Consider the following 23,442-nt stretch of genomic DNA (forward strand, 5'->3'; position numbering starts at 1 on the left):
CCCAAAAAAATTTAGATAGTAGTGCCTTACAATTGACATATTTTCTCTCTCTGGGTAGGACAGCTATTTTTATCTCCACTTTATAAATGAGGAAATTAAGGCTCAGAGAGGTTGTATGGTTTGGTCAGGGTTAGAGTGCTAGTAAAGGCAAAATGCAGTTCAAACTCAGGTCTTCTGGTACCCCTTGCAAGCTCCTTTCTGTTTGCACCAAGAACATTTGACATAAGATCAGGGGTGCACAGGGTAGAGCAGTCTGCTGTAGAAATGGACTTTAAAATAGCATCTGTAACAGTAAGGGGCCCCCCTGGCTTTTCACCCAAAGAATGCTGAAACTTACATACAGAATTGTGGGAAGGGGTTGGGAGGGTGACCCTGGGTGCAGGAGGCACAGTAATCATGGTTCTAGTGATTCAAGTACAGGGTGAAGGTGAAGGGGCCTGGAACAAACCACCCCTGCTGCACTAACACACACCAAAGGATACCAGCCCCTGCTTTGCCTTCGTGTCTTGTCAAAGCAAGAGGAGCGGTGTGGTGGTATGGGCCAGGAACAGACAGGCTTTGCTCAAGCAAACTTGGTTTTGAGTTCAGACTCTCCATCCTAGTTGGATGTCTTAAGGAAGTTCATTTAACTTTTCTCAGCCTATTTTTCTCATCTGCAAAATGGAAATGGCAATAATACCCAAGCCCAGGGCAGTTGTAAGAGTAAGTAGGAGAATGCATATAAGGTGCTTAGCATAGTGCCAGACACATAGTATAATACACAGGTAATAAGTGGCAGTAGCTCCACACTGTCATGTAAAGGCCCCGCCACGGTAGGCAGTAAATGGTAGTTCTCTTCACATCTCTCTTCCACCACCTGGCAAGGAAAAGAAGAATCTTTCAAGTATCTTTGTATCTCTAAAGTTCCTTGAACATGTTAGGTCCTTAGACATATATTCTGAAAGGCAAGAACTGTTCTGCCCTTCCCCCAAAGGAAACCAGCCATAAAGGGTTTGCTCTTGTCCCCCATAAGTAATTTTCTTGATGACTTTCAAAGGGAATCAGAAAGATTTCTTTATGCTTGTTAGAGAGAATTGGTTCCCAGGGGCTGCCCTCTGACCACAAGTTAGGAGAGATGTGGCTCAAGAGGGTGATTCCAGTGGAGGAACTGACCTGCAGCCCGATCAGAAAGGGTCTAGGAGGGAGACGGAGCATGGAAATGGGAGATCAAGAGAAGATCACATGAAGTCTGTTGCAGATGCTATGATAAGAAAGCAAGAAGTGAGGTAGAAGCAGAAGAAGCATTGAAGTTGAAGCCAATCTTGAATCTGGAATTATTTGGATCAGCTTTACAGGAAAACAAGCTGGGTAGGAAAGAACTGGGGGATGGGACATATGGATATGGTCTTGGTGAGAAGAGGTCAAGGTAATATGCCAGCATTTGAAAATGGGGGAGTCTCTTTGCAACTGCCCCTTCTCAAAATAGGAAGGAAAGGGGCATAAAGAGGCTAAGGAGTGTAAACTCAGATCACGTAGGATTCTTTGACTGCAAGCAATAGAAACCAACTTTAGCTATCTTAAGTCTAAAAAAGAAATTTCATTGGAAAAGAATATGATCAGATGGCTCGCATATTTAAAGGGAATGCTGGCAAAACAAGCTCGAAAGGACTAGCACAGCACAAGGCCAGTTTTGGGAATCCAGGTAATGGGAAGTAATCGAGGGTCTCCTCGGGGCTGTCCTGCCAGAGCAACTAGACGCCAATCTTTTCATCACTTCTGCTCAAGCATAAAGAGTCAAATTTGCCTAAGTTGAGTCCTGCATTCACCTTCCCTCTTGGACAGGGAAGGGTCCATCCGGATACTCTGGTGTAAGCCCTACTAGGTACTGCACATCGTGATTAGAGGCAGTGAAAGAAATAAGGGACTGTTACTACAAGAAGGGAAAGGCTGCCAAGTACCCCCCAAACAGCGAAAGTCCAGGACAAGGGGAAGCAAGCAGCATAGGGAATTTGTACCTGACTCAGTGGCCCTGTAAGTTTGTTTTTTTTTTTTTTTACTTTTTTTTTGAGACAGGTTCTCGTTCTGTTGCCCAGCCTGGAGTGCAGTGGCATGATCATGGCTTACTGCAGCCTTGAACTCCTAGGCTCAAGCGATTCTCCTGCTTCAGCCTCCCATGTAGCTGGGACTACAGGCGTACGCCACCATGCCTGGCTAATTCTTTTATTTTTTGTAGAGACTGGATCTCCCTATGTTGCTCAGGCTCATTTTGAACTCCTAGCCTCAAGTGGTCCTCCCACCTCGGCCCCCCAAAGTGCTGGGATCATAGGCGTGAGCCACCATGCCTGACCTAGACTTTATTTTTTACAGTGGTTTTAGGTTCACAGCAAAATTGAGAAGAAAGTACAGAGATTTCCCATAGCTCCTGCCTCCACACATGCATAGACTTCCCATTATCAGAATCCCCCACCAGAGTCGTATATTTGTTACAACTGATGAAGCTGCTTTGACATATCATTATCACCCAAAGTCCATAGTTTACATTAGGGTTCACTCTTGGTGTTCTTTTTATGAGTTTGGATGAATGTATATTGACATGTATCCACCATTTAGTATCATATGGAATATTTTCACTGCCATAAATGTCCTCTGTGCTTTGCTAATTCATCTTTCCCTCCCCCTTAACCCCTGGCAACCACTGTTCTTTTCACCTGCTCTACAGTTTTGCCTTTTCCAGAATGTCATATAGGTGAAATCACACCATTTAAAGCCTTTTCAAACTAACTTCTTTCATTTAGTAATATACATTTAAGTTGCCTCCATGCCATTTTATGGCTTGATAGCTTATTTCTTTTCAGCATTGAATAATATTCCATTGTCTGGATATACCACAGATTATTTACCCATCACCTACTGAAGGAAATCTTGGTTGCTTGCAAATTATGGCAATTAAGAATAAAGCTGCTATAAACTCCATGCAGGTTTTTATGTGGACATAAATTTCCAACTCCTTTGGGCGTACCACAGTTTATTTACCCATCACCTACTGAAGGAAATCTTGGTTGCTTGCAAGTTATGGCAATTAAGAATAAAGCTGCTATAAACTCCATGCAGGTTTTTGTGTGGACATAAATTTCCAACTCCTTTGGGCAAATACCAAGGAGCACAATTCCTGGATTGTGTGGTGAGAGTATGTTTAGCTTTATAAGAAATTTCCAAACTGTCTTCCAAAGCAGATGTAGCAATTTTGCATTCCCACAAGCAATGAATGGGAGTTCCTGTTGCTTCACATCCTCATCTTGTCAGTATTTCCACATTTGGGCCATTATAATTGGTGTATAGTGTGGTATCTCATCGTTGTTCTCTGTAAAGTTCTTGGCTATGAGAGAAAGTGAATGGAGAAACAGGTAAGCCTCAAGAAAGCAGCAAGAGGCTCTGAAAAGTACCAGGACAGGAAGATGTAGATTGTTGAATAATATCACTTCTTATGCTAGGGTTGGTATAGAGCTGGGTGACACATCATTATCACCCAAAGTCCATAATTTACATTTAGGTAACTTCATAAATTACATTACAAAGTCAGACTTCTGTATAGCTGTGAGCTATGCTCAGGAATGAGTGCATTGTGACAGGGGAAGCAAATGCAAAAGTTTACTAAGGATGCCCTTGAATATTTATAAAATGTCACAGAGGGATGGAAAGGGGTACCAGTGGAGGGAGAAGAGGCATTAGGCCCAGGAGAAATGATCAAGTCCTGTGGGTTTATCAGAAGATTTTGGTATCCATATGTCCATGTGGGAAAGGGGTAGGTAGGTACTTTCATAGAAGTCTTAAAATAAAGTGTCTTGCTACTTTGGGGATATTTAAAGGTCCTGTCCTCTCTTGTTTTTTCATCATCAAAAAGAAAATCCAGTGGATAAGGACTATGCAGTATTCATGAACACCTTGAGCCTGAAAATGAAGAACTCATGATTCTGTGATCATGTGAATTCATCCATAAAGCATTAAGACATTAATGGGTGTGCACTAAGACAGCCCTGAAAATTAGCACAGGTTGATAAGAAGAGCAGTAAATTAAGAGAGGAAAAGACCAAAGTTAAAAGAAATCAAAGTGAGAATAAGAGCACACATTGAAACCACATCACCTCATACTTTTAAGTATGGGTTTAACTGTGATCGTAAGTCTTTTAGAGGACAGAGTTGACTATGAAAGTTGGGGATTAAGCCGGGCACGGTGGCTCATGTTTGTAATCCCAGCATTTTGGGAGGCTGAGGCGGGTGGATCACGAGGTCAAGAGTTCAATATCAGCCTGACTAACATAGTGAAAGTCGTCTCTACTAAAAATACAAAAATTAGCCGGGCATGGTGGAGCGTGCCTGTTATCCCAGCTACTGGGAGGCTGAGGCAGGAGAATCGCTTGAACCCGGGAGGCGGAGGTTGCAGTGAGCTGAGATCGTGCCACTGCACTCCAGCCTGGGTGACGGAGTGAGACTCCGTCTCAAAACAAAACAAAAAAAGAAAAAAAGGAAAGAAAGTTGGGGATTGTGCGGGAGAGCCCCATTCCACACATATCCCCGTACCCGCTCCTCTCCCACTCTACTGCTCTCATTTCTGACTCAGCAGTCAGCCTAGATGCTGGGCAAATTTAAAAGAATTTCTGCCCTGGAGATTAAAATCCAAACTCCAAGCTGGTCACCTCTCCTCTGTGCTTCCCTTTGCCAGGATACAAGAAGCTTAGTCGTCTGAGGGGGGACAAAGGAGTATTGTTGAGGCGAGCCTGGTTATGAGAAGGCTTTGCAACTAAAAGCTCTTATGCTGCTATCTAAGCCACTCTGCCTGGGGGGACACTGTGTGCCTGTCCCAACTTCACTATATCAGTTCAAAGAGAAATTTCAGCCAGATACAGTGATTGCAGGAGGATATCTTGGGACTTGGCAACATTAATAGGTTAAGAATTTGTATCACAGCATTCTCATCCAAGTCACAGCTAGGTCCTGGGTTGGGGTAGACTGGGAAAATCTTTCTTTTTGTAGATCTGAGTCAAAAGGTTTCTCCCATAGGAGCCGGCTGAGAGACAGCCAAGCCTGGAGCGGGTGGTGAGGCAGTGTGCCCACTGCCTTGCAGAGGGTGGGGCAAACCCCATCTCTATTCTTTTTACCCTCCTTGTCCTGGACCTGCTAGAACCCTGCCACCTTCAGGAAAGGCTGCAGAAGCCCAAAGGGTTGATGATCCCAGAGACTCTATCTTGTCCGGGGAATTAGTTCAATTAGTCTCAGATGCCAATTAATTAACAAATGTGTATTGAGTGTCTTCTCTTGCCTAGTACTGTGCTGTTTTGAGAACTGGGCTCCTGACTTCATGAGGAGCCCAGGCTGGGCGCGGTGGCTCATGCCTATAATCCCAGCACTTTGGGAGGCCAAGGCAGGTGGATCACGAGGTCAGGAGTTCAAGACCAGCCTGGCCAACATGGTGAAACCCTGTCTGTACTAAAAATACAAAAATTAGCTGGGTGTGGTGGCAGAAGCCTGTAATCCCAGCTACTCGGGAGGCTAAGGCAGGGAGAATTGCTTGAATCCAGGAGGCTGAGGTTGCAGTGAGCCAAGATGGCACCACTGCACTCCACCTGGGTTACAGAGTAAGACTCCATCTCAAAAAAAAAAAAAAGAAAAGAAAAAAGAGGAGTCCAGTCCTCAAAACAGTACAGTGCTAGGGAAAAAAAGTCATTCAACTTGTTATTCAATTCAACAACCATTAATGTGCCATGCACTGTGCTAAGGATTATACAGGTAGGGTTATACAGGTAGCAAAGAATGAAACCTAGGCATTTGGAAGATGAGAGCAATGCAAGATGGTCTATAACAAAGCATTACCCTGTGCTCCAAGTAATGGCTTTAGATTCTACACCTCCACGCAGAGGAAGATGTGCGATTATTTGTGTTCTACAATGGGGCTGTTTCTGTGGCCATGCTGTATCTCTACCATGTCTTATTTGTAGGTTAAACTCTGGCTTTGGCTCAAGATTGACCAGCATTTGTAAATACACACTTCTTTTTGTTAAAAGATTCTGCCTTTCTTTCTTGCCCACAGCGTAGGTCAAGGTCTGCTTTCTCTTAGGTCCCTCAGCAAAGAACAGACGTGGGAAGGGGAAACAATATCTTTGGAGGAATTTTTTTTTTCTTCATATCCATGGGCAGTAATGTCAGGTATAGAGCTGTGACCTCTCTAGGGAATACAGTAGAGGGATATGAGGACAGGGAGGGAAGAATAGTGACACAAAGAGGGTTTCCAGTGACACAAAGCAAGAACACAGAGGGGATGAATCCTTTGTTCTGGAACTGCATGTCTGTGTTCTGAGTGGATAGGCTAAGAAAGGAACTGGCCGCTCAGAGACCCACTTTGACCTTGTAAATGCCCTGTAGTTGTTTAATGGGAGATTAATACTCTCTCACAACCTTGGGCTTTTGATATTTATTTTTTTAATAAGTGAAATCTCATATGTTCCCCAAGTTCCCGGGCTCAATCTTCCCGCCTCAGCCTAGTGAGTAGCTGGGATTACAGATGCATGCCACCAAACCTGGCTCTGTTTTTACTGTTTACATCCAAACTCATGTTCTAGGAAGACACTGGGCCCACTGGACCCCAATCCCTGTCGTAACTGCTAATTTTTCACCAGGCTGAATTGAGCTGGCTGGTGCCCAGAACTCTAAGAATGCCAAAGGTCAGGTCATGAGGTCTCTGGTGCTACAATTAGGAGTGTGGACAAACATGGGTGGCTGAGGAGGAGTGAGAAGGGGTAGACAAAGGAACACAGGCTTAGGACTTCTTCCTTGAAGTTATGCCACTCCCACCCAGAACCTCCTGCAGTCCGACCAATGGACCACACCCAGCTAGCTTCATTTTCCTTCTTTCCTCAAATGGAGAAAATGGCTGAATACATCATTTCTCTTGAAAGTTGCGAGATGGGCTTGAATTAGAAGTAGGGACCCAACTTAACTCTGTCCCCAGACTTGTGTCTGCTCCTTCAAGCCTTGGACAACCGCCAAACCACAAGAACATACTGTATAATAGGAATCCAGTAATGCTGTTGTGGTCACAGTGTAATTGCTTTGAAGAGATAATAGGGATCCAGATAATATCAAAAGATGTGAGGCCCCTCTGATCTGAACAGTGATCCCCAACTCCCCCAGGTCCCCATTGCCATATCTCTCCCCGGTATCTTAATGAAGGGAAAGGAGGCAGAACTCAAAACGTTGGCATTAAACTTGAGGAATGGGTGGTTATGGGTGCACACTCTGGCTCTTGGACTGGCAGGTTGTGGCTTTATTGAGTTAGATGTCAACTTCTCTGAATCTCGGCTTTCTACTTACTCATGAGGATCAATACTTTTAAAACATTTTAATAGCTTTATTAGAAAAATGATTCATACTCCTTGTAAAATGCTTACATAATATAGAAAAGAACAAAGCAGAAACTAACAACATTATATCAAATTTCTCCACTCAAAGATAGTCACTGTTAATCTCTGGGAAAAATAATTCTACCCATATTTATATACATAAATATACATATAGTTATATGTATACAGTTTTACATAAAACAAATCATATTCTACATGCTTTTCTAGACATTGCTTCACTTGACATTAAGTAATGAATATCTTTCCTTGTCAATAAATATAATTCTTCATCATACATTTTGATGGCTGCATAGTATTTCATTTTCTAGATGAATCATAATTTTAATACTTTACTTACTAGTCCTAATTGACGGACATTTCAATTGGATCCTTTTCCCCTCTTTTATTTTGCTGTTATTGCTGCTATAAATATTAGGGGCACCCCTCATTCTTCTCCTAACATAAATTGTGAGAAATAGTCACAATTGTAGCTGAAGAAAGGACGCAAGAATCACAACATGCCATGTCAGCGAAAGGAGATTTGGAGTGGGGAAGGTCCTAGTAACATTTTAGTGATTCTTCCCTCTATAAATGGCTTCCAATCTGATGTACATTACTGCATATGCAGTTTATTATGCTTGACGGGAAAATATATTTACAGAAAGTTACTTTGAGTATTCCAGTGGATTTATTTCAACATTAACAATTTTGCCTCCCAAAAGAACCATGATCTTCTCAGGAGTGTCTTTTGTTCCAGAGATCCTGGATTCACACAAGCATGATGCCCTGTGCCCAGGAAATTTCTACTTTCAAGATCAAACCATTCCAGAAGCCATCTGAGAGTTTCCCCAATGGCCAGTGAGGCAATGTGCAGTGTTTGGAAGAAACAGCAGCCCCGTGTCAGCCCCAGAGCAATGCCTACTGGCTTTCCATCCTAGGAATCTGCCTGCTCTGCTCCATCACCAACCTTATATATGAGACCTGTCTGTCAGCTCTACCTGATTCCTTTGTGTGGGTCCACTTTAGTAGTTCCTCTTCCGGACCTGGACTAGGAAATCCAGAACCTATAAATGCAGAATTCCTTTCTGGAAATGCGCACTCTCCATATCACCACTCTGAAAACCCCAGAGCTCACTTCTACATAAGCAAAGCTCCTAATACAATTGGGAGTCGGTCTAGTGCCAGCTCTGTATCCCATCACTTTATCTGTAGCAGAGCAAAAAGGATCCTTGACTTGCAGCTTGGACTTTGTGCAGCGGCATCTCTTCCTGTCCCCTGCCCGTGTAACATGGGTAGGTAAGATGCCTGCTTGGAATGAGTGCCAAGCTGACGGTCTTTGCATGCTGCTTTTGGTCTTGTGCTTTGCACAGTAGGAAAAGGTATGCATTGCTTGGTGCCAGATGCATGGAACTAAGAAAGGGGAGAATATTCTTTCCATCTTTTCCTAGTCTTTTATACATCTCAGTGTTCTAGCCCCCTTCCCTGAAACGACGCAAAATTGAACAGGATAAAAATATGCATAGTTTAAAGTCTCCACTTTAAGCACAGCTTAAATCCCCATTAATCACCACATTTAGAGGTGACCAAAGCATGCAGTGTCAGATCAGAAGGGAATGGATCTGGCCCTACACCTGACTGGGAGCCAGAATGCTGGGGCTCAGGGTCCTTGAAGAAAACAAACAAGCCATCCTGGCCACTAGATGGTGCTGAGAGATAGTCTCCAATGTGCTGGCAGTCATGTCCAGGGCTTCCATACTGAGGGCAGGTTTGTCATCAGAACTCACCCCCTTTTACAAAGAGGGGAGGGCAAAGAGAGCTTCCAGTAGGGTATGAGCCCTGACACACCATCGAAAACCCTGAGCACAACAAGGAGAAGTCCTGACCATCAAGGGAGATAATAGACCTATTGGTTCAGGCCAAGCCACTAGGGGCAGGGCAGAGGGAGCTGCAATGGCTTGGTCAGCTCATTCTATCCATGTGTTTCACTTATTTCCTTTTCTGTGAATCCCAGGGTACTTGTGGCTCACTCATTGCAACCTTTCAGCCTGGAAGGTGCCCCGCAAGGGAACCCACACATCCCTGAGCAGAGGCAAGACCTGAGTGGCTAAAGGCGTGGTCTTTAGAGTCAGGCAGGGCAGGGTTTGTGTCCTGGCTTGGCCACTTGCTTGCTATCTGAGCTTAGCCATGACACTTGGTCTTCGTGAGCCTCAGTCTATGCATCTATAAAATGGAGATAAAAATGGCTTCAGCTCCAGAGAATTGTGAGAATTAAGATGATTCCTCTGTTTCAGCTCGGGAGCCGGAGGTTGCAGTGAGCCGATATCGCACCATTGCACTCCAGCCTGGGCAACAAGAGTGAAACTCCATCTCAAAAAAAAAGATGATTCCTCCTAAAATGTTTAGTGGGTCAGGAACAAAGTCAGCCCTCAATAAATATGGCTTTAAATGTTTCGATTTTTAATTAGGAGATTAGAAAGAAAGATTTCATTTGTTTGCAGTGCCCTGCAATGGCTGGCTGTGTCCCCGGTGTGTTTTGGTGAAGTTGCTTCTATTCCCATTCAGCAATTCTCAGATAAACCAACAATGTGTTTTGTACCGCAGCAGCCCCTCATTCCCCAGCATGACCCTGGTGAAGTGTCCATTAATTCCTTATCTCCAGGCTGAGGATGGCAGCCACGAAGGTCCTGCTTCTATTTTACAGTTAGGTGAGGCACAAAGAGTTGCTGAGATGTCCTCAGATTGCGGAGCAAAGTAGTGGCTGAGCAAGAACTCACTCACAGCTCTGCATGTAGGACCCCACCCCAGACCTCTGGCCTCTTCCTGTCAGCGAAAGTAGTGGCTTTGAGGAGGGGAGGTCAAGGAGCATGAAGAGGCCCTCCAAAGTCCAGTTGCCCTGTACTGAGCCACCTACTCCTCCACGCTCTCCCTCTCCTACAGTGGCCCACTGTGGACACTCGGCAAGCACATGATGAATGTATGAACACAGGACCTCTCGTAGTTCAGCTCTGAGATGGGCTGGTGGGGACTCAGATAGATTGGAGTGTGAGGGTGAGGTAGGGCTGGGAGACTTTCCTTTCTCTTGGCTTGGGTCTGTCTTCTGCTGAGGAGATAATAATAACAACCAGCATCTACTGAGTACTTACTGAGTGCCAAGAACTGAGCTAGGTGCCAAAGCTGGAATTTGAACTCTGGAAGTTGAACCCCACTGTCAGCATGAAAACCCATTGTCTACAGCGGCCACACATGTGTCCCAGAAAAGTAAAGGGTCACTGGCAGCTCTCTGACAGGCCTGGGTTTCCTTGGCTTCTTGGAGCCCTAGTCTCTCCCCACACAGGCTCCCTGGGCTGTTGGAGAACCTGCCACCTACTTAAAGCTGGTCCCTGCCCAGTTCCTCCCTCCCCCAATTGATGTGAGCAGCCATTGTTCTCATCTTTGATGAAAGCTGTTGGAGAAATAAGACAGCTGCTTTAAAACTAGGATGTTGCAAACTCTAAAATGATCTAGAATTGCAGTCAGATGGCTGGATTTACCTGATCCTCATTCCCTGAGCTCCACCAGCTCCCAACTCAGGTGCTCTTTCTCCCTCCCTCTCCTGTCCCTATCCCATTAAGCCCCCATTCACCTGGCTCTCTCTTGCCCGTATAACCCGCAGCTGCAGCGGACAGAGCATTTTGCATTGATATGTGTTGTAATTACATCAGTTCCGCCCTGGCAGTTGCTCTCTGAGAAAAATCACTCAAGGGCATACCAGTCAATACAGACCCCAGACAGGTGCGTGACAATGCAGACTCCTGGGCCCACTGATCTGAATAGCTAGAGGTGGCCTGGAATCTGTATTTTCAGATCAGCATTTTAAGACATGAGGTTAGATTTGGAATCACTGCCCACCTCCTCATTGGAATCCTTCTCCACCAGGCCCTCCTTCCATGCTGCTCCTCCTGGGTACTTTCCAGCTCCCTAGTCTTTGGGCGCCTTGCTAGTCCTTTACACCTCTACACCTTCAAGTTCCCTCCTCATTTCATAATATTTACTAGATTCCAATAATATGCCAGGCACTGAGGCAGGCCCTTTATCTCCATCTTTATAATAACTCTCTAAGGAAGGAATTCTGATTCCTGATTTACAAACGAGGAACACCTTCCCTCCCCTCCCCATCCGCTGCCTGGCTCTCTCTGGCTCCCATACCCACAGGTATACTGAACAGATTATTTGCAGTGAATGTATGTGGTAACTGCATTACTTCCACCCTGTGTCCCCTGGGTGGAAGAGCCAGGATTCAAGGACAGGCATGTCTAGTTCTAAAGCCTGTGCCCAGAGTTGATAGGTCACACTTGCCACACTTTCCTTCCTAGCACAGTGGCTGGAAAATAGCAAGTATTCAATAGATATTTGTTAGTGAGTAACTGAATGAATAAATGAAAGAAGAGTCCATACTTAAAGTTAGGACACTTCCTCCCATCTTTCCATACCCATCTCACATGCACACATATACACGCTCACACACACACTGAGGATTTAGCCACTGGGCCATTTCCTTTCCTTCCTAACTGGCCCTTCTCTGCATGTCCAATCACTGCCTTCCTAGCCCCACTTAGATGGTGACTCTTGACACTCTGCTCTAACCCATGGTTACCTCACCTCTCATGTCCCATGGTGGCTAATCCTGACAATCACCGAAGAGCCAAATTGCTCCCAAAGATTCAGCAGTAGAAGTAACCTCCTGACTTCTTTGTGACCCAAGGCAGAGAGCAGAAGCCTGGACTAGGACTGGCCCCAAGTTTCCTGGGAGTCTGAAACTCCCTTCTCCTTCTTCTCCCCTCTCTTCCCCTTCCAACAGTAACTGAGAACCAGGTCCTGAAGGCAGGAGGAGGGGATCCCTTGATTTGAGGCTTTTTTGGTGATATAGGAGAGGGTCTCTTTGGAGCTCAGAGAAAGCAGGTAGGGATGGGAAGCAGGGTTTCTAGAAGGCTCGTACAAGGGAAGATGAATTGTCAACCATTTCACCAGCTCTCCTAGAGTTATTCCTGTCTCTCAAGCCATCTGCTTATCCATTGCAATCTTGTAAACAGAGATTTACAAGATCTCTCGTAAACTCCAGCCAATATTTGTTCAAAGAATAAATAACAAAAGCTTCCATTTATAGATCACTTGCTGCATGCCAGACAACATACTATCTCATTTAATCATTTCAACAACCCTAAGAGGCCAGAATTATTATCATCATTATTTTACAAACATGGAATTAATTCAGAAACCTTAAGCAACTGCCCCAAGGTCCCACCACCACTTAAGTGATAAAGCTTAAACTGAGCTCTGGCCAGTTCCAAGTTCCCCTTTCCCTCCCATAGTGCTGTCCAAGGAACAAGGCCCAGACTAAGATGCTGTAATATTGACTCTGTAGGAATTTATTTTTTAAACATTCCAGCCTAAACCATGTAGTGTGTGTATATAAAGTGACTCTCCTGTAACTCCTAGAGTGGTTAGTTAGCATCTGAAGTGCCCTAATCAGGAATCCGCACTCCAGAAAATGGTTACATAAGCACTTCAAACAACATCAAAATATACACCCAAGGGCTTAATGTGCTTGAGGGATGCTAGAAATAATCTTTTATTGGTGAAATAAGCAGTTTTCAAAACATGGAGTTGGCCAGGAAGATTATTTGCCCTTGCATGAATGGAGTGTGAGAGCCAGAGCAGGCCAACTGCCCCATTTTCTTGAAGCAGGCTGTGTGACTGTTTTGTGCCAGCTTGCCAATACATGTATATTTGGCAGAATTTGGCCTTAACTATTTTTAATATCCCACCTGCAGGAGATTACAGAAAAGAAGACGAATGGCCTCCTCTCACCTCTCACGTCCCATGGCAGCTAATACAATCATTGAAGGACTAAATTGGCTCAGACCAGTTGACAAGTCCCCATCCCGGCCTCATCTTCTTTCACAAGAATGCCCTAGCATATCCTTCAACTCAGGCACATGATGGCTTTTCTTCCCATCTCTCTGTTCCATCCTCCATTCTCCTTTGTCAGGTCACTTGTAATAATAAGCTAATATCCAAAGAAAGGGGCTCTAGGGGTGATGGTGGGTATTATAGTCCCAGCTACCTGGGAGGCTGAGGCAGAAGGACTGCTTGAGCCTAGGAGTTCTGGGCTGCAATGAGCTATGATTGCCACTGCATTCTAGCTTAGGCAACAGAGCAAGATCTTATCTCTTAAAAGAAAACAACAACAACAACAAAAGTTGTAACTTGCCCAAGTCACATAGCTAAAAAGTGGAAGAGACATAACTGAAACTCAAGCCTCCTAAATTCCTAATGTAGGGTTCAGTCCACCTCTACCACCCTCCCACAGACTGCCAAGGGGTCCTGCTCAGAGTTGGGCAATGGTGAGATGCACTCTATGGCCCCAAACTCATTGAAAGTAACAACTGAGCTGAAAAAAATGTGGAGTCTCTTCTGCCCTCTACAGAAGTAACCAGCTATAGGGGAGAGCATGCTCCTCCCATTCCACTCTCCATGGTGCGTCTCTTTTCACTATATAACAAAGTTATATTAAATGAGTTCTGGGCCGAGGTGCGGTGGCTCATCCCTGTAATCCCAGCACTTTGGGAGGCCGAGGCAGGAGGATTTCTTGAGTCCAGGAGTTTGAGACCCCACCTCTACTAAAAAAAAAAAAAAATTTTTTTTTTTTTTTTTGCTGGGTATAGTAGCATGTGCCTATAGTCCCAGCTGTTCATGAGGCTGAGATGGGAGGATTGCTTGAGCCCAGGAGTTCAAGTTACAGTGAGCTATGATTGTGCCACTGCAATCCAGCCTGGAGAACAGAACAAGAAGAACCTATGTCCAAAAAAAAAAAAAAAAAAAAAGTGAATGAATGAATTAATGTCTTCTTAGCAAAATCCAGAGAACGTGTTTTTGGGCTTCCTTATGCAACTTCTGGAATGTTGAAGTGGATAGCCTGAGCATTGTCCCACAAAATGGGGCTAATCTATCCCAATCCCCACGAGCTATAAAGCTGTTTGCAAGTTCAGCCATTGAAGTCCCATTGGCCCAGTTAAATTCTCACGTTTGGCCTCCTGCACTACCAGCTTTCCTTAGTGTCTGGGCTCTCAAAACTTCTACGTGAGAATGGCCTGGGGTACTTTAGTTAGAGATTCAGATTCAAACCCAGGGTGGGGGTGTTCTTCATGGTGCCTGGGATGAGTCTTCCAAGGACCATTTGGAGAAACAGGCGCTGATGGTATTTTGCTTCTGTTCAGTCCTTCACTGACAGAGAGCCTGCAGGGTTGAGGAAGAAGGCTCTGTTTTGAAGTGTGGATCCCTCCCTGCAATGGTCTCTATTTGCATCTTCTTTACTCCAGGCTCACCTAGCCAAATGTTGAGTTTTCCAACCCCTCTGGGTATGAGATTGCTTTGGGCGATCTGAGATCTGCAAATGTCTGAGAACGAGGAGCACATGGGCACGCTGATGACTGCCCTGCAAACTGCCTGGCAGCCAGGGTCCTCCTGGGCCCTCCTTTAAAATAACATATACATAAGCCGGCCTGGAGGCCCAGGCGGGAAGATCACTTGAGCTCCGGAGTTCGAGTCCAGCCTGGGCAACATAGCGAGACCAGAAAATAAGCAAGTAAGTTACTCTCTGGGCTGTCGTAACTTATTTTTTCTTTTTCTCCTGCAAATTGCAACTCAGAACATTTGGTCTGCCAGACTGAAATATGGACTTCTGTTCCAAATATCCAGACGTTACAGTTCCCACAGGTGGCCAGGAGAATGCTGGAACCTTTGGCGGAGACGGTCTGGTCTTGTCCCGCAGCCCGCGAGGGTCCCCCGCTATTTGGGGTCAAGCAGATCCCCGGGGCGCTCTGGCCACCCCTTGCGGCAGCTGGTGCGGCCTCCTCGGAGAGCTCCGGGCCGGCGCCCGGGACACCCCGCCGCCCTCCCTGCCGCCCCAGGGACGAGCCCAGCGGTGCGGAGAAGTGGGAGGCTGGAGCCTGCTGAGGTCATTTCCTGTGCCTCTCCGCGAGCTGCCTGGAGAGCTGAGCCCAGCGCTCTGCCTTTAAGGAGCGGGCGGGGAGCCGAGGGGAGGAGGGCGCCCGGCGGAGCGTTGAATGGGGCGCAGCAAGGCTCGGCCGGGCTTTGTGCAGCGAGCCCGCGGGCACCCCTCCCGCTCCAGCCTCGCCCCGCCCCGCAGCCCACGACCCCTGCTGCCGGGGAGGGGAGAACCGGCGGCAGCCCGGGACTCCGGCGAGAGCGACGCAAGGTCGGCTGCGGCGGCGGCCCGAGGGCGCCCGTGTGCCCAGTGCGCGGCGGGGACGGCCGCGAGCTCGCTGGAGGTGAGCGACCCGCGCTCCCGCCGCTGTGGTGGGCTGGGGCTGCGCCGCGGCGGAGGGCGTCAGGCTGCGCGCGGGGGACGGCCCCTCGGGCCCAGAGGACGATCCGGAGCAGGTGCCTCCCTACCTGGAAGCGAGCTCCCAGCGGCGGGGAGCGCTGGAGCGCGGGTCTGGCTTGGGAAGCCGGGCGCCCCAGGGGACTCGCGCCGCGAGGCCAGGAGGAGCCTCCCCCGGGAGTACCTGGACTTGGGGATCGGTCAGATCCAGCCGCTCCTGGGAAGGGCCCTCGGAGCGGACGTGCAGGCTGCCACCTTGCTATCGGTGCTCGCTCCCTTTCACCCCTTCCCGCACCCCTCCCCATCTCACCTCAGGTTATTTCTTCTGTGATTTCTGAGTGTTGTCTTTGGGACCCTATGGCTCAGGCTCGACTCCTAGGAGCAGGTCATTCAAGCAGAAAAGAAAACAGGTTGGGCGCCGAATGACACAGAGCATTGTGTCCTAGGAGTCTTAGCGAGGACTCGGTCACCAGGAACCAGGGGCCTTAGTGGGGGTGGCAGAGGCGGTGAAGAGCCTCATCTGGAAGGAAACTCCTCTCCTTGTGGGATTTCTGCTTGCCAGGATATCTCCTCCATAGCTTTTACTATGAATCCACCTCATAAAACTCTTCCAAGACAGAGCCTTGGTTCAGGTAAAACACTTGAAAGACCATTTAAAAAATTCAGTGGGAGAATTATCAGTTCCTTCATCAAACTGTTTGGACTGTCTTCTATGTGACAGACACTGTGTATAGGGCTAGTACCATCACTGAACGCTTTATAGAACATCGGTATTAGTGTTTCTGCATATTATTGGCCCCATTTTTCCAAAGGAGGAAGCTGGGACTCTGAAAAGTTGTGATTTAGGCCAGTTGCAGTGGCTTATGCCTGTAATCCCAGCACTTTGGGAAGCCAAGGCAGGAGGAGAGCTTGATGCCAGGAGTTCAAGACCAGCCTGGGCAACATAGGGAGACCCTGTGTCTACAAATAAATAAAAATTTAAAAATTAGCTGGGTGTGGTGGTGTGGGCCTGTAGTCCCAGCTAACTTGGGAGGCTGATGATCCTGTCTGTTAAAAAAAAAATTGTTGTGATATGCCCATGGTCACATAGCTAAAAAGTGGAAGAGCCATAACTGAAACCCAAGCCTCCTAAATTCCTAACGTATGGTTCAGTCCACTTCTACCACCTTCCCATAGACTGCTGAGGGGGCCTGCTCAGAGTTGGGCAATTGTGGGGTGCAGCCTGTGGCCCCAAACTCATTGAAACTAACAACTAAGCTGAAAAAATGTGGAGCCTCTTCTGCCCTCTTCAGAAGTCACCAGCTGTAGGGGAGAGCATGTTCCTCCCATTCCTGATAGAAAAAAAAAAATCCAAAGAAATGTCTGGCAATTTAAAGTGTACATCATTTACCCCTAAATTCCATTTTCTGGGACTTTATCCTTCAGATATACTCTGATGTATATGAAATGGTGTACATCATTGAATATTCATTGCAGCATTGTTTAGCAAAAGGTTGGAAACAATCTAGATGTCCATCAATAAGGAACCCTTCAATAAGATCATGTAAAAGCCACACGATAGGATACATTAAAGCTGTTATAAAGCGTGCAGAGAAAATGTGGCAGATATATACTTTGATGTAGGAATATCTCTAAGTTATATTGTTGAGTACAGTGTGTATGGTGGGCCACGATTTTTGGGTGGGTGTGTGAATGCCACATACATATGAATGCCTGTAGATGCTCTGAATATCTCTGAGAGAACACACAGAAACCTGTAACAGTGGTTGCCGCTGGGGAGAACTATGGCTGAAGTACAGGCATGGGAAGAAGCCTTACTTTGCACTATATACCCTTTTGTTCAATGTTCTAAAATAACTTTAAAAATCATATGACCTCCTCTCCAGATCTCCAGAGTTAGATCTGGTAGTGAGCACATCTTTTTTTTTTTTTTTTTTTTTTTTTTTTGAGCCAGAGTCTCGCTCTGTTGCCCAGGCTGGAGTGCAGTGGTGCAATCTCAGCTCACTACAACCTCCGCCTCCAGGGTTCAAGCAGTTCACCTGCCTTAGCCTCCCAAGTGGCTGGGATTAACAGGCATGCGCCACCACACCTGGCTAATTTTTGTATTTTTAGTAGAGACAGGGTTTCACCATGTTGGCCAGTCTGGTTGAACTCCTGACCTCAGGTAAGCCGCCTGCCTCCACCTCCCAAAGTGCTGGGATTACAGGCTTGAGCCACCGTGCCCAGCCTCGTGAGCACATCTTTGGGCCACATCTCCTTTTATGTTCTAGATGCTATTGGTTTGCCTTTGTTTGCTGATTACAACAATAACAGTCATTTATTGAGTACTTAGTGTGCACCAGGCTTTTGTAATATCTCCTTTAATTCTCAAAAAGCCCTGCATGATGTGATATATGAAATGGCCATTTTGAAGGTTGGAAAATGGTTAAATGACGGTTTCATATGGTTCAACCAAATATTATTGTCCTGATTTTCAAATATTACTGCCCTCAATTTCAGAATGGAACTGAGTCTCAAAGAAGTTAAGCAAATGGCTTAAGGCCACAGGATTATTTAGTGCCTGAGCTCGTATTCAAACCCAGGCCTGTCAGTGCCAGAGCATGGGATCTTAGGTACTAAGCTGTTTCTCTTTGCTGTTTTTGTTCTCAAGGAATGTTGTACCTGGTTGTCCTGACCACTTCTTTTGGTATTGAGGTTCCTGCGGCCTAGGACATGCTCACCTTCTCTGTCTCCCCGGACATTGTGTGGAATGTCATGTAGGCACCCAGCAGTGGCCAAATGGATGTTGTTAGCTTGATCAGATGACAGTGCTGAGATCAGAGGAAGTTGTCCCTGTGTACACTCACACCCTTCTCCCAGCCTCATCCCCAGAAACGGGACACAAAGCTGTTTCTCTCCCACAATTGACAAGTAGTCAGCCACGTCTGGCAGAGCACTTTTAGAAGATGGTGGTAGCCCCTCACTAGCAAGTGGAAGTCATACAGATACTCACACTCAGGGAATGAACCATACTGAGGCAATATGAGAGAGCCCAGTGGAAACTGTGCATATAACAGAAGCCCCGTTGCCTTCCAATGCCTCCTGCATCCTCCACAAGATAGAGGCAATGAGCTATTTTGAGGCCTGTGGTGACCTCTGACCTCTTTCTTTTAGGGTCCTGTATTGATTAGCTACCTTTGTAGGGAGCTACCAGGATATTCAGGCTGTAGACTTGAGCCTCAAAAGCCACAATATCTTTATTCATCTTTATATCCCCAATCTTGCACACAGGACTCACTTAAAAGTTGTTTGTATTAAACTTAATCTTGGGGTCGGGAGTGGTGGCTCACGCCTGTAATCCCAGCACTTTGGGAGGCCAAGGCAGGTGGATCACCTGAGGTCAGGAGTTTGACCAGACTGGCCAACATGGTGAAACCCTGTCTCTACTAGAAATACAAAAATTAGCCAGTGTGGTGGCATCCGCCTGTAATCCCCGCTACTCAGGAGGCTGAGGCAGGAAAATTGTTTGAACCTGAGAGGCGGAGGTTGCAGTGAGCCGAGATTGCACCATTGTACTCCAGCCTGGGTGACAGAGCGAGACTCCATCTCAATAATAATAATAATAAAATAAAAACTTAATCTTAGGCTGGGTGTAGTGGCTCAACACACTTTAGAAGAATGAGGCAGGTAGATCACTTGAGCCCAGGAGTTCGAGACCAGCCTGGGCACCATGGTGAAACCCTGTCTTTACAAAAAATACAAAAATTAGCCAGTGTGGTGGCATCCACCTGTAATCCCAGCTACTCAGGAGGCTGAGGCAGGAGAATTATTTGAACCCGGGAGGCGGAGGTTGCAGAGAGCCGAGATTGCACCATTGTACTCCAGCCTGGGTGACAGAGCGAGACTCCATCTCAAAAATAATAATAATAATAATAATAATAATAATAATAAAAACTTAATCTTAGGCTGGGCGCAGTGGCTCAACACACTTTAGAATAATGAGGCAGGTGGGTCACTTGAGCCCAGGAGTTCGAGACCAGCCTGGGCACCATGGTGAAACCTTGTCTTTACAAAAAATACAAAAATTAGCCAAGCACAGTGGTGCACGCCTGTAGTCCCAGCTGCTTGGGAGGCTGAGGTGGGAGGGTCACCTGAGCTTGGGAAAGTTGTGGCTTCAGTGAACCATGATTGTGCCACTCACTCCAGCCTGGGCAACAGAGTGAGACCCTGTCTCAAAAGAAAAAGAAAAAAAAGTAATCTTAGCATTTTGTCAGTTTCTGCTCAAAATCCTCAAACTTGCCAGAGAGATCCCAGGTCAAATTTGTGTTTTCTCTGATACAGACTCTGAGTCTGGAGTCACCTAATGACTTCCTGTGCCACCTTCCCACCCATCCTACTCCCAGCCCCTGCCTCTGGGGCATATCCCCACTGACTGCTGTGGCATTTCAGTCCCGGGTGTTGGAGGATTCAGGGGATGCCAAAGCAGGTATCAAGACTATGGCAGTTTTTTGATTCACCTGCCAAGCAGTTTAGCAGGCTGGGTGCCAGCAGAATCAAGAAAACTATGAGTTTCATAAGACTGGCCAACAGCTGATCGTAATTTTAGCGGGGTATTGGGGACAGAGGGACTTATTGTACTATTCTCCCTATTTCTAATGTGTGATAGAGCATTCCAGAATAAAAATAGAAAAAAAAATTGAGCTGAGTTTTGTTTCCAGCTCACTTCCCCTCTCTCATTTCCCCATTTATTTTTTGCCATTAATGTATTTGTGTTAGACTAGCCTGTTAGTATGAGATATCTGCTACCACTACTGAAGCATCATCATGGGAAGAGGACAATTGTAGATATTGGGAGATCAGGATTCTTGGCCCAGTTCTGCTACTCCTTAGCTCTATGCAAGGCTCTAAGCAAGTCACAGATGTGATGAGTTTTCTCATCTGTTCATTGTGACTAATTGTGTTCGTCCTCCATCTCAGGGATAAAGAGAGAAATAACACATGCGTCGCAATGCTTTGACAAGTTACAAACTCTACTGCAAATGTAAGGTATTCATTTCTGCTCATCCTTGTGCATTTTTATGGGAGGTATAAGTGCAAGGTGACTTAGCAGGTGAGGCTCAGCTTACTGGTATCTTCCTTTAACCTCCCTTATTTTATAGCTGTTGCTCTGACCACCTGCTTCTGTCAGAAGAGCCTCTGGGCCTTGGGTTTGGCAGCAGGCACCCTGCTCCTGATCTATTTCAAAACCTCTCTGCTCTCCTCACATGCTGAGGCAAGCCAAGCACGAGTCCCAACCTCCTCAGCAACTTGCCAGGGAGAGGGTGGTTAATCCTCTCCATCCCCAAGGCAGGGAGAGGATTAAACAGACCACTTGATCAGTTCAGAACCATGATGTTACGGAGATGCTTGATTGGGGAAAGCATTCCCTAAACTAGGTATAATCTCAGATATCAGGGCTAGGCAGACACCAGTGACATATTTCCAAAGTACTTGGAGATTTTGATAATTTGGGTTTTCACTCTCCCAATAGAATCTGAGCAGCAGCTTTGACAATCAGTAAGAGGGAATCAATATTAATCAAACTCTTTCAACTATACAAAGGGATTACATTTCCCTTGCCCCTTGCTTTTATGCTTTTACTGTTATTTCTTAGCCCTGAACTGAGTTGCGAGACTCCCAGGTCCTAGTCTCAGATCTGCCACTTTTCCTATTTATACAAGGAAAAGCAAAATCCCAGTAAAGGACAAGGAAAAATCAAACATGAAGCCTCCCGGCCTTCTCTGAGAGCCTTACAAGGTTCTGTTTTGTCTTTTCAGCTGTGATCTTAGCTCAGAGAAGGTCATGTTTTGTTTTTGTCTTTTGTCTTCCTGCCCGTTCCAGTTGGTCCTAGTCTTTTGAGATGGGGATTGCTGGGAGGTCACAATGCAGGGATTGTTTAGATGACAGGGCTGGGAGAGCAGCGCTGAAGTCATGTGTTCTGAGGAACCAAGAAGCGAGCTTACTCGGTCCATCAGTGGTTTAATTGTTGGGCCTTTCTCTGCAGGTCTTATTTTTTAGATGAAAAGTCAGGATACATGGTAAAGGTCAGTGCTTGGGGAGATTATGGTGTCAGAATATTTGAGCCCAAGATGTCTTGGGAAATCTGGGATATAGGTTCATCCTTGTGCTAAGGCTTCTGAAAGATCCTAGAAACGATTTCTGCCATTTTCAAGTCTACCACACTCTTTGTGAAATTGAAATTCTTTTTATTTTTTTTGGATGGGTAAAGAGCACAGAGTGGCAATGAACAAGGAATTTGGGACCAGAATCCCAGCTCCACCATTAACTAGCTGTACAATTATCTGTAAATTACTTAGCTTCTCTGTTCCTCAGTGTCCTCATGTGTGTGTGGACAACAGTGCTTACCTATTGTTTCACAGGTTGTTGTAAGGTTTAAAGAGGCAACACATGCCTGGCATACAATAAAGACTCAATAAGCAATAGCTACTTGTAGTGTATGATGGGAGAAAAATACGAATAAAAGTCACATGCGAGGGGAGAAGCACGATTGGTGATTAGCCCATCAAAGAGAGGCTAACTTTGCACTGTGGTAGTATCTGGCAACAGTACAGGAGGTGGCTGGGTTTTCTGAGGCCATGTGGCTCCTGAGGAAGGAAAAGGGGATTTTGAAAAGCAACAAATTTTTATTATGGAAAATTCCAGGCATATATTCAAGTAGAGAGATCATATAAAGAACTCCCATATACCCATCAGCCAGCTTCAAAAATTATCAACATTTTACTAATCCTATTTCGTATATCTCCTCCCCTACTTACCTCTTACCTTGAAGTATTTTAAAACAAATCCCAGATATTATATTATTTCACCTGTATATCATAAAAATTTTTAACAGATGACATTTAAAAATATTATCGGCCGGGTACAGTGGCTCACACCTGTAATCCCAGCACTTTAAGAGATTGAGGCCGGTGGATCACTTGAGGCCAGGAGTTCAAGACCAGCCTGGCCAACATAGTGAATCTCCATCTCTACTAAAAATACAAAAAATTAGCCAGGCTTGATGGTGCACGCCTGTAATCCAGCTTCTCAGGAGGCTGAGGCATGAGAATCACTTGAAGCCAGGAGGCAGAGGTTGTAGTGAGCCAAAATTGCACCATTGTACTCCAGTGTGGCTGACAAAGTGAGACTCTCCCTCAAAAAAAAAAAAAAAATTATCACCCTAAAAAATTAACAATTATTCCTTAAAATTGTTGACTACTAGGGTGACCATGTGTCATGGTTTGGGACAGACCAAATTTATACTTTTTGGGAAGCATCATTCATCATAATGCCCTATAAGGGGGATTTGAAAAATCCTGATGATGGATGTGTCTCCCAGGCATTCTCTCCTGCTTGCTCTGCCTGTATCCCTCTCTCTCATGCACACTCATGCATCCTTCTTCCTTTTCTCATCCTGCATCCAGTGTTTTTTCTCTAAATATGTCCAGAAGGCATCTGAGTGAATTCCCCTGGCTGGACATACTATAGGTGTCTACTTGATTTGTTCTGAATTTGTACAAATTTTTTTCCCAAAGACTTGTGGCTTTCTCCAGAGGTTGCAGCAAAATATCTAGCAGTTTTCTGGTTTGCATCTTAGAACCTGAAGGAAATGGTGAGAATCTATTCCAAAGTGGGATGGATGATTCGATGATAACAATGGACACAATC

The 23,442-nt window shown here is 45.8% G+C and overlaps 3 protein-coding genes across 10 annotated transcripts in view, besides 1 other annotated feature; 2 read left to right on the forward strand and 1 right to left on the reverse strand.

The window, feature by feature from the left end:
* The window catches only part of TMEM229B (transmembrane protein 229B), a 63,582-nt gene extending 47,427 nt beyond the window's left edge, over nt 1–16,155 (reverse strand). The window contains exon 1 of one of the 2 annotated variants that reach the window (NM_001348546.2): nt 16,067–16,155. The gene's annotated coding sequence lies outside the window, so the exon portion shown is untranslated. Of the gene's footprint in view, nt 1–15,940; nt 16,015–16,066 lie in introns of those variants that run through there. The other variant, NM_001348547.2, reaches the window with a different exon arrangement.
* GPHN (gephyrin) overlaps nt 1–23,442 on the forward strand; it is a 1,227,209-nt gene that overhangs the window by 1,009,549 nt on the left and 194,218 nt on the right. The gene's annotated exons all lie outside the window — the stretch shown is intronic.
* Nucleotides 15,219–15,688: a silencer, noted in NCBI's record as "silent region_5858". NCBI's record gives its function as "represses an Ori minimal core promoter by ATAC-STARR-seq in GM12878 lymphoblastoid cells {active_cell/tissue: GM12878}" and the evidence as "EXISTENCE:reporter gene assay evidence [ECO:0000049][PMID:35858748]".
* The window catches only part of PLEKHH1 (pleckstrin homology, MyTH4 and FERM domain containing H1), a 56,323-nt gene continuing 48,475 nt past the window's right edge, over nt 15,595–23,442 (forward strand). For all 7 annotated transcript variants that reach the window (XM_011537009.2, XM_017021500.2, NM_020715.3 and 4 more), the window contains exon 1: nt 15,595–15,703. The gene's annotated coding sequence lies outside the window, so the exon portion shown is untranslated. The remainder of the gene's footprint in view (nt 15,704–23,442) is intronic.

Source organism: Homo sapiens, chromosome 14 (genome assembly GCF_000001405.40).
Source record: "Homo sapiens chromosome 14, GRCh38.p14 Primary Assembly".
Lineage (NCBI taxonomy): Eukaryota > Metazoa > Chordata > Mammalia > Primates > Hominidae > Homo > Homo sapiens.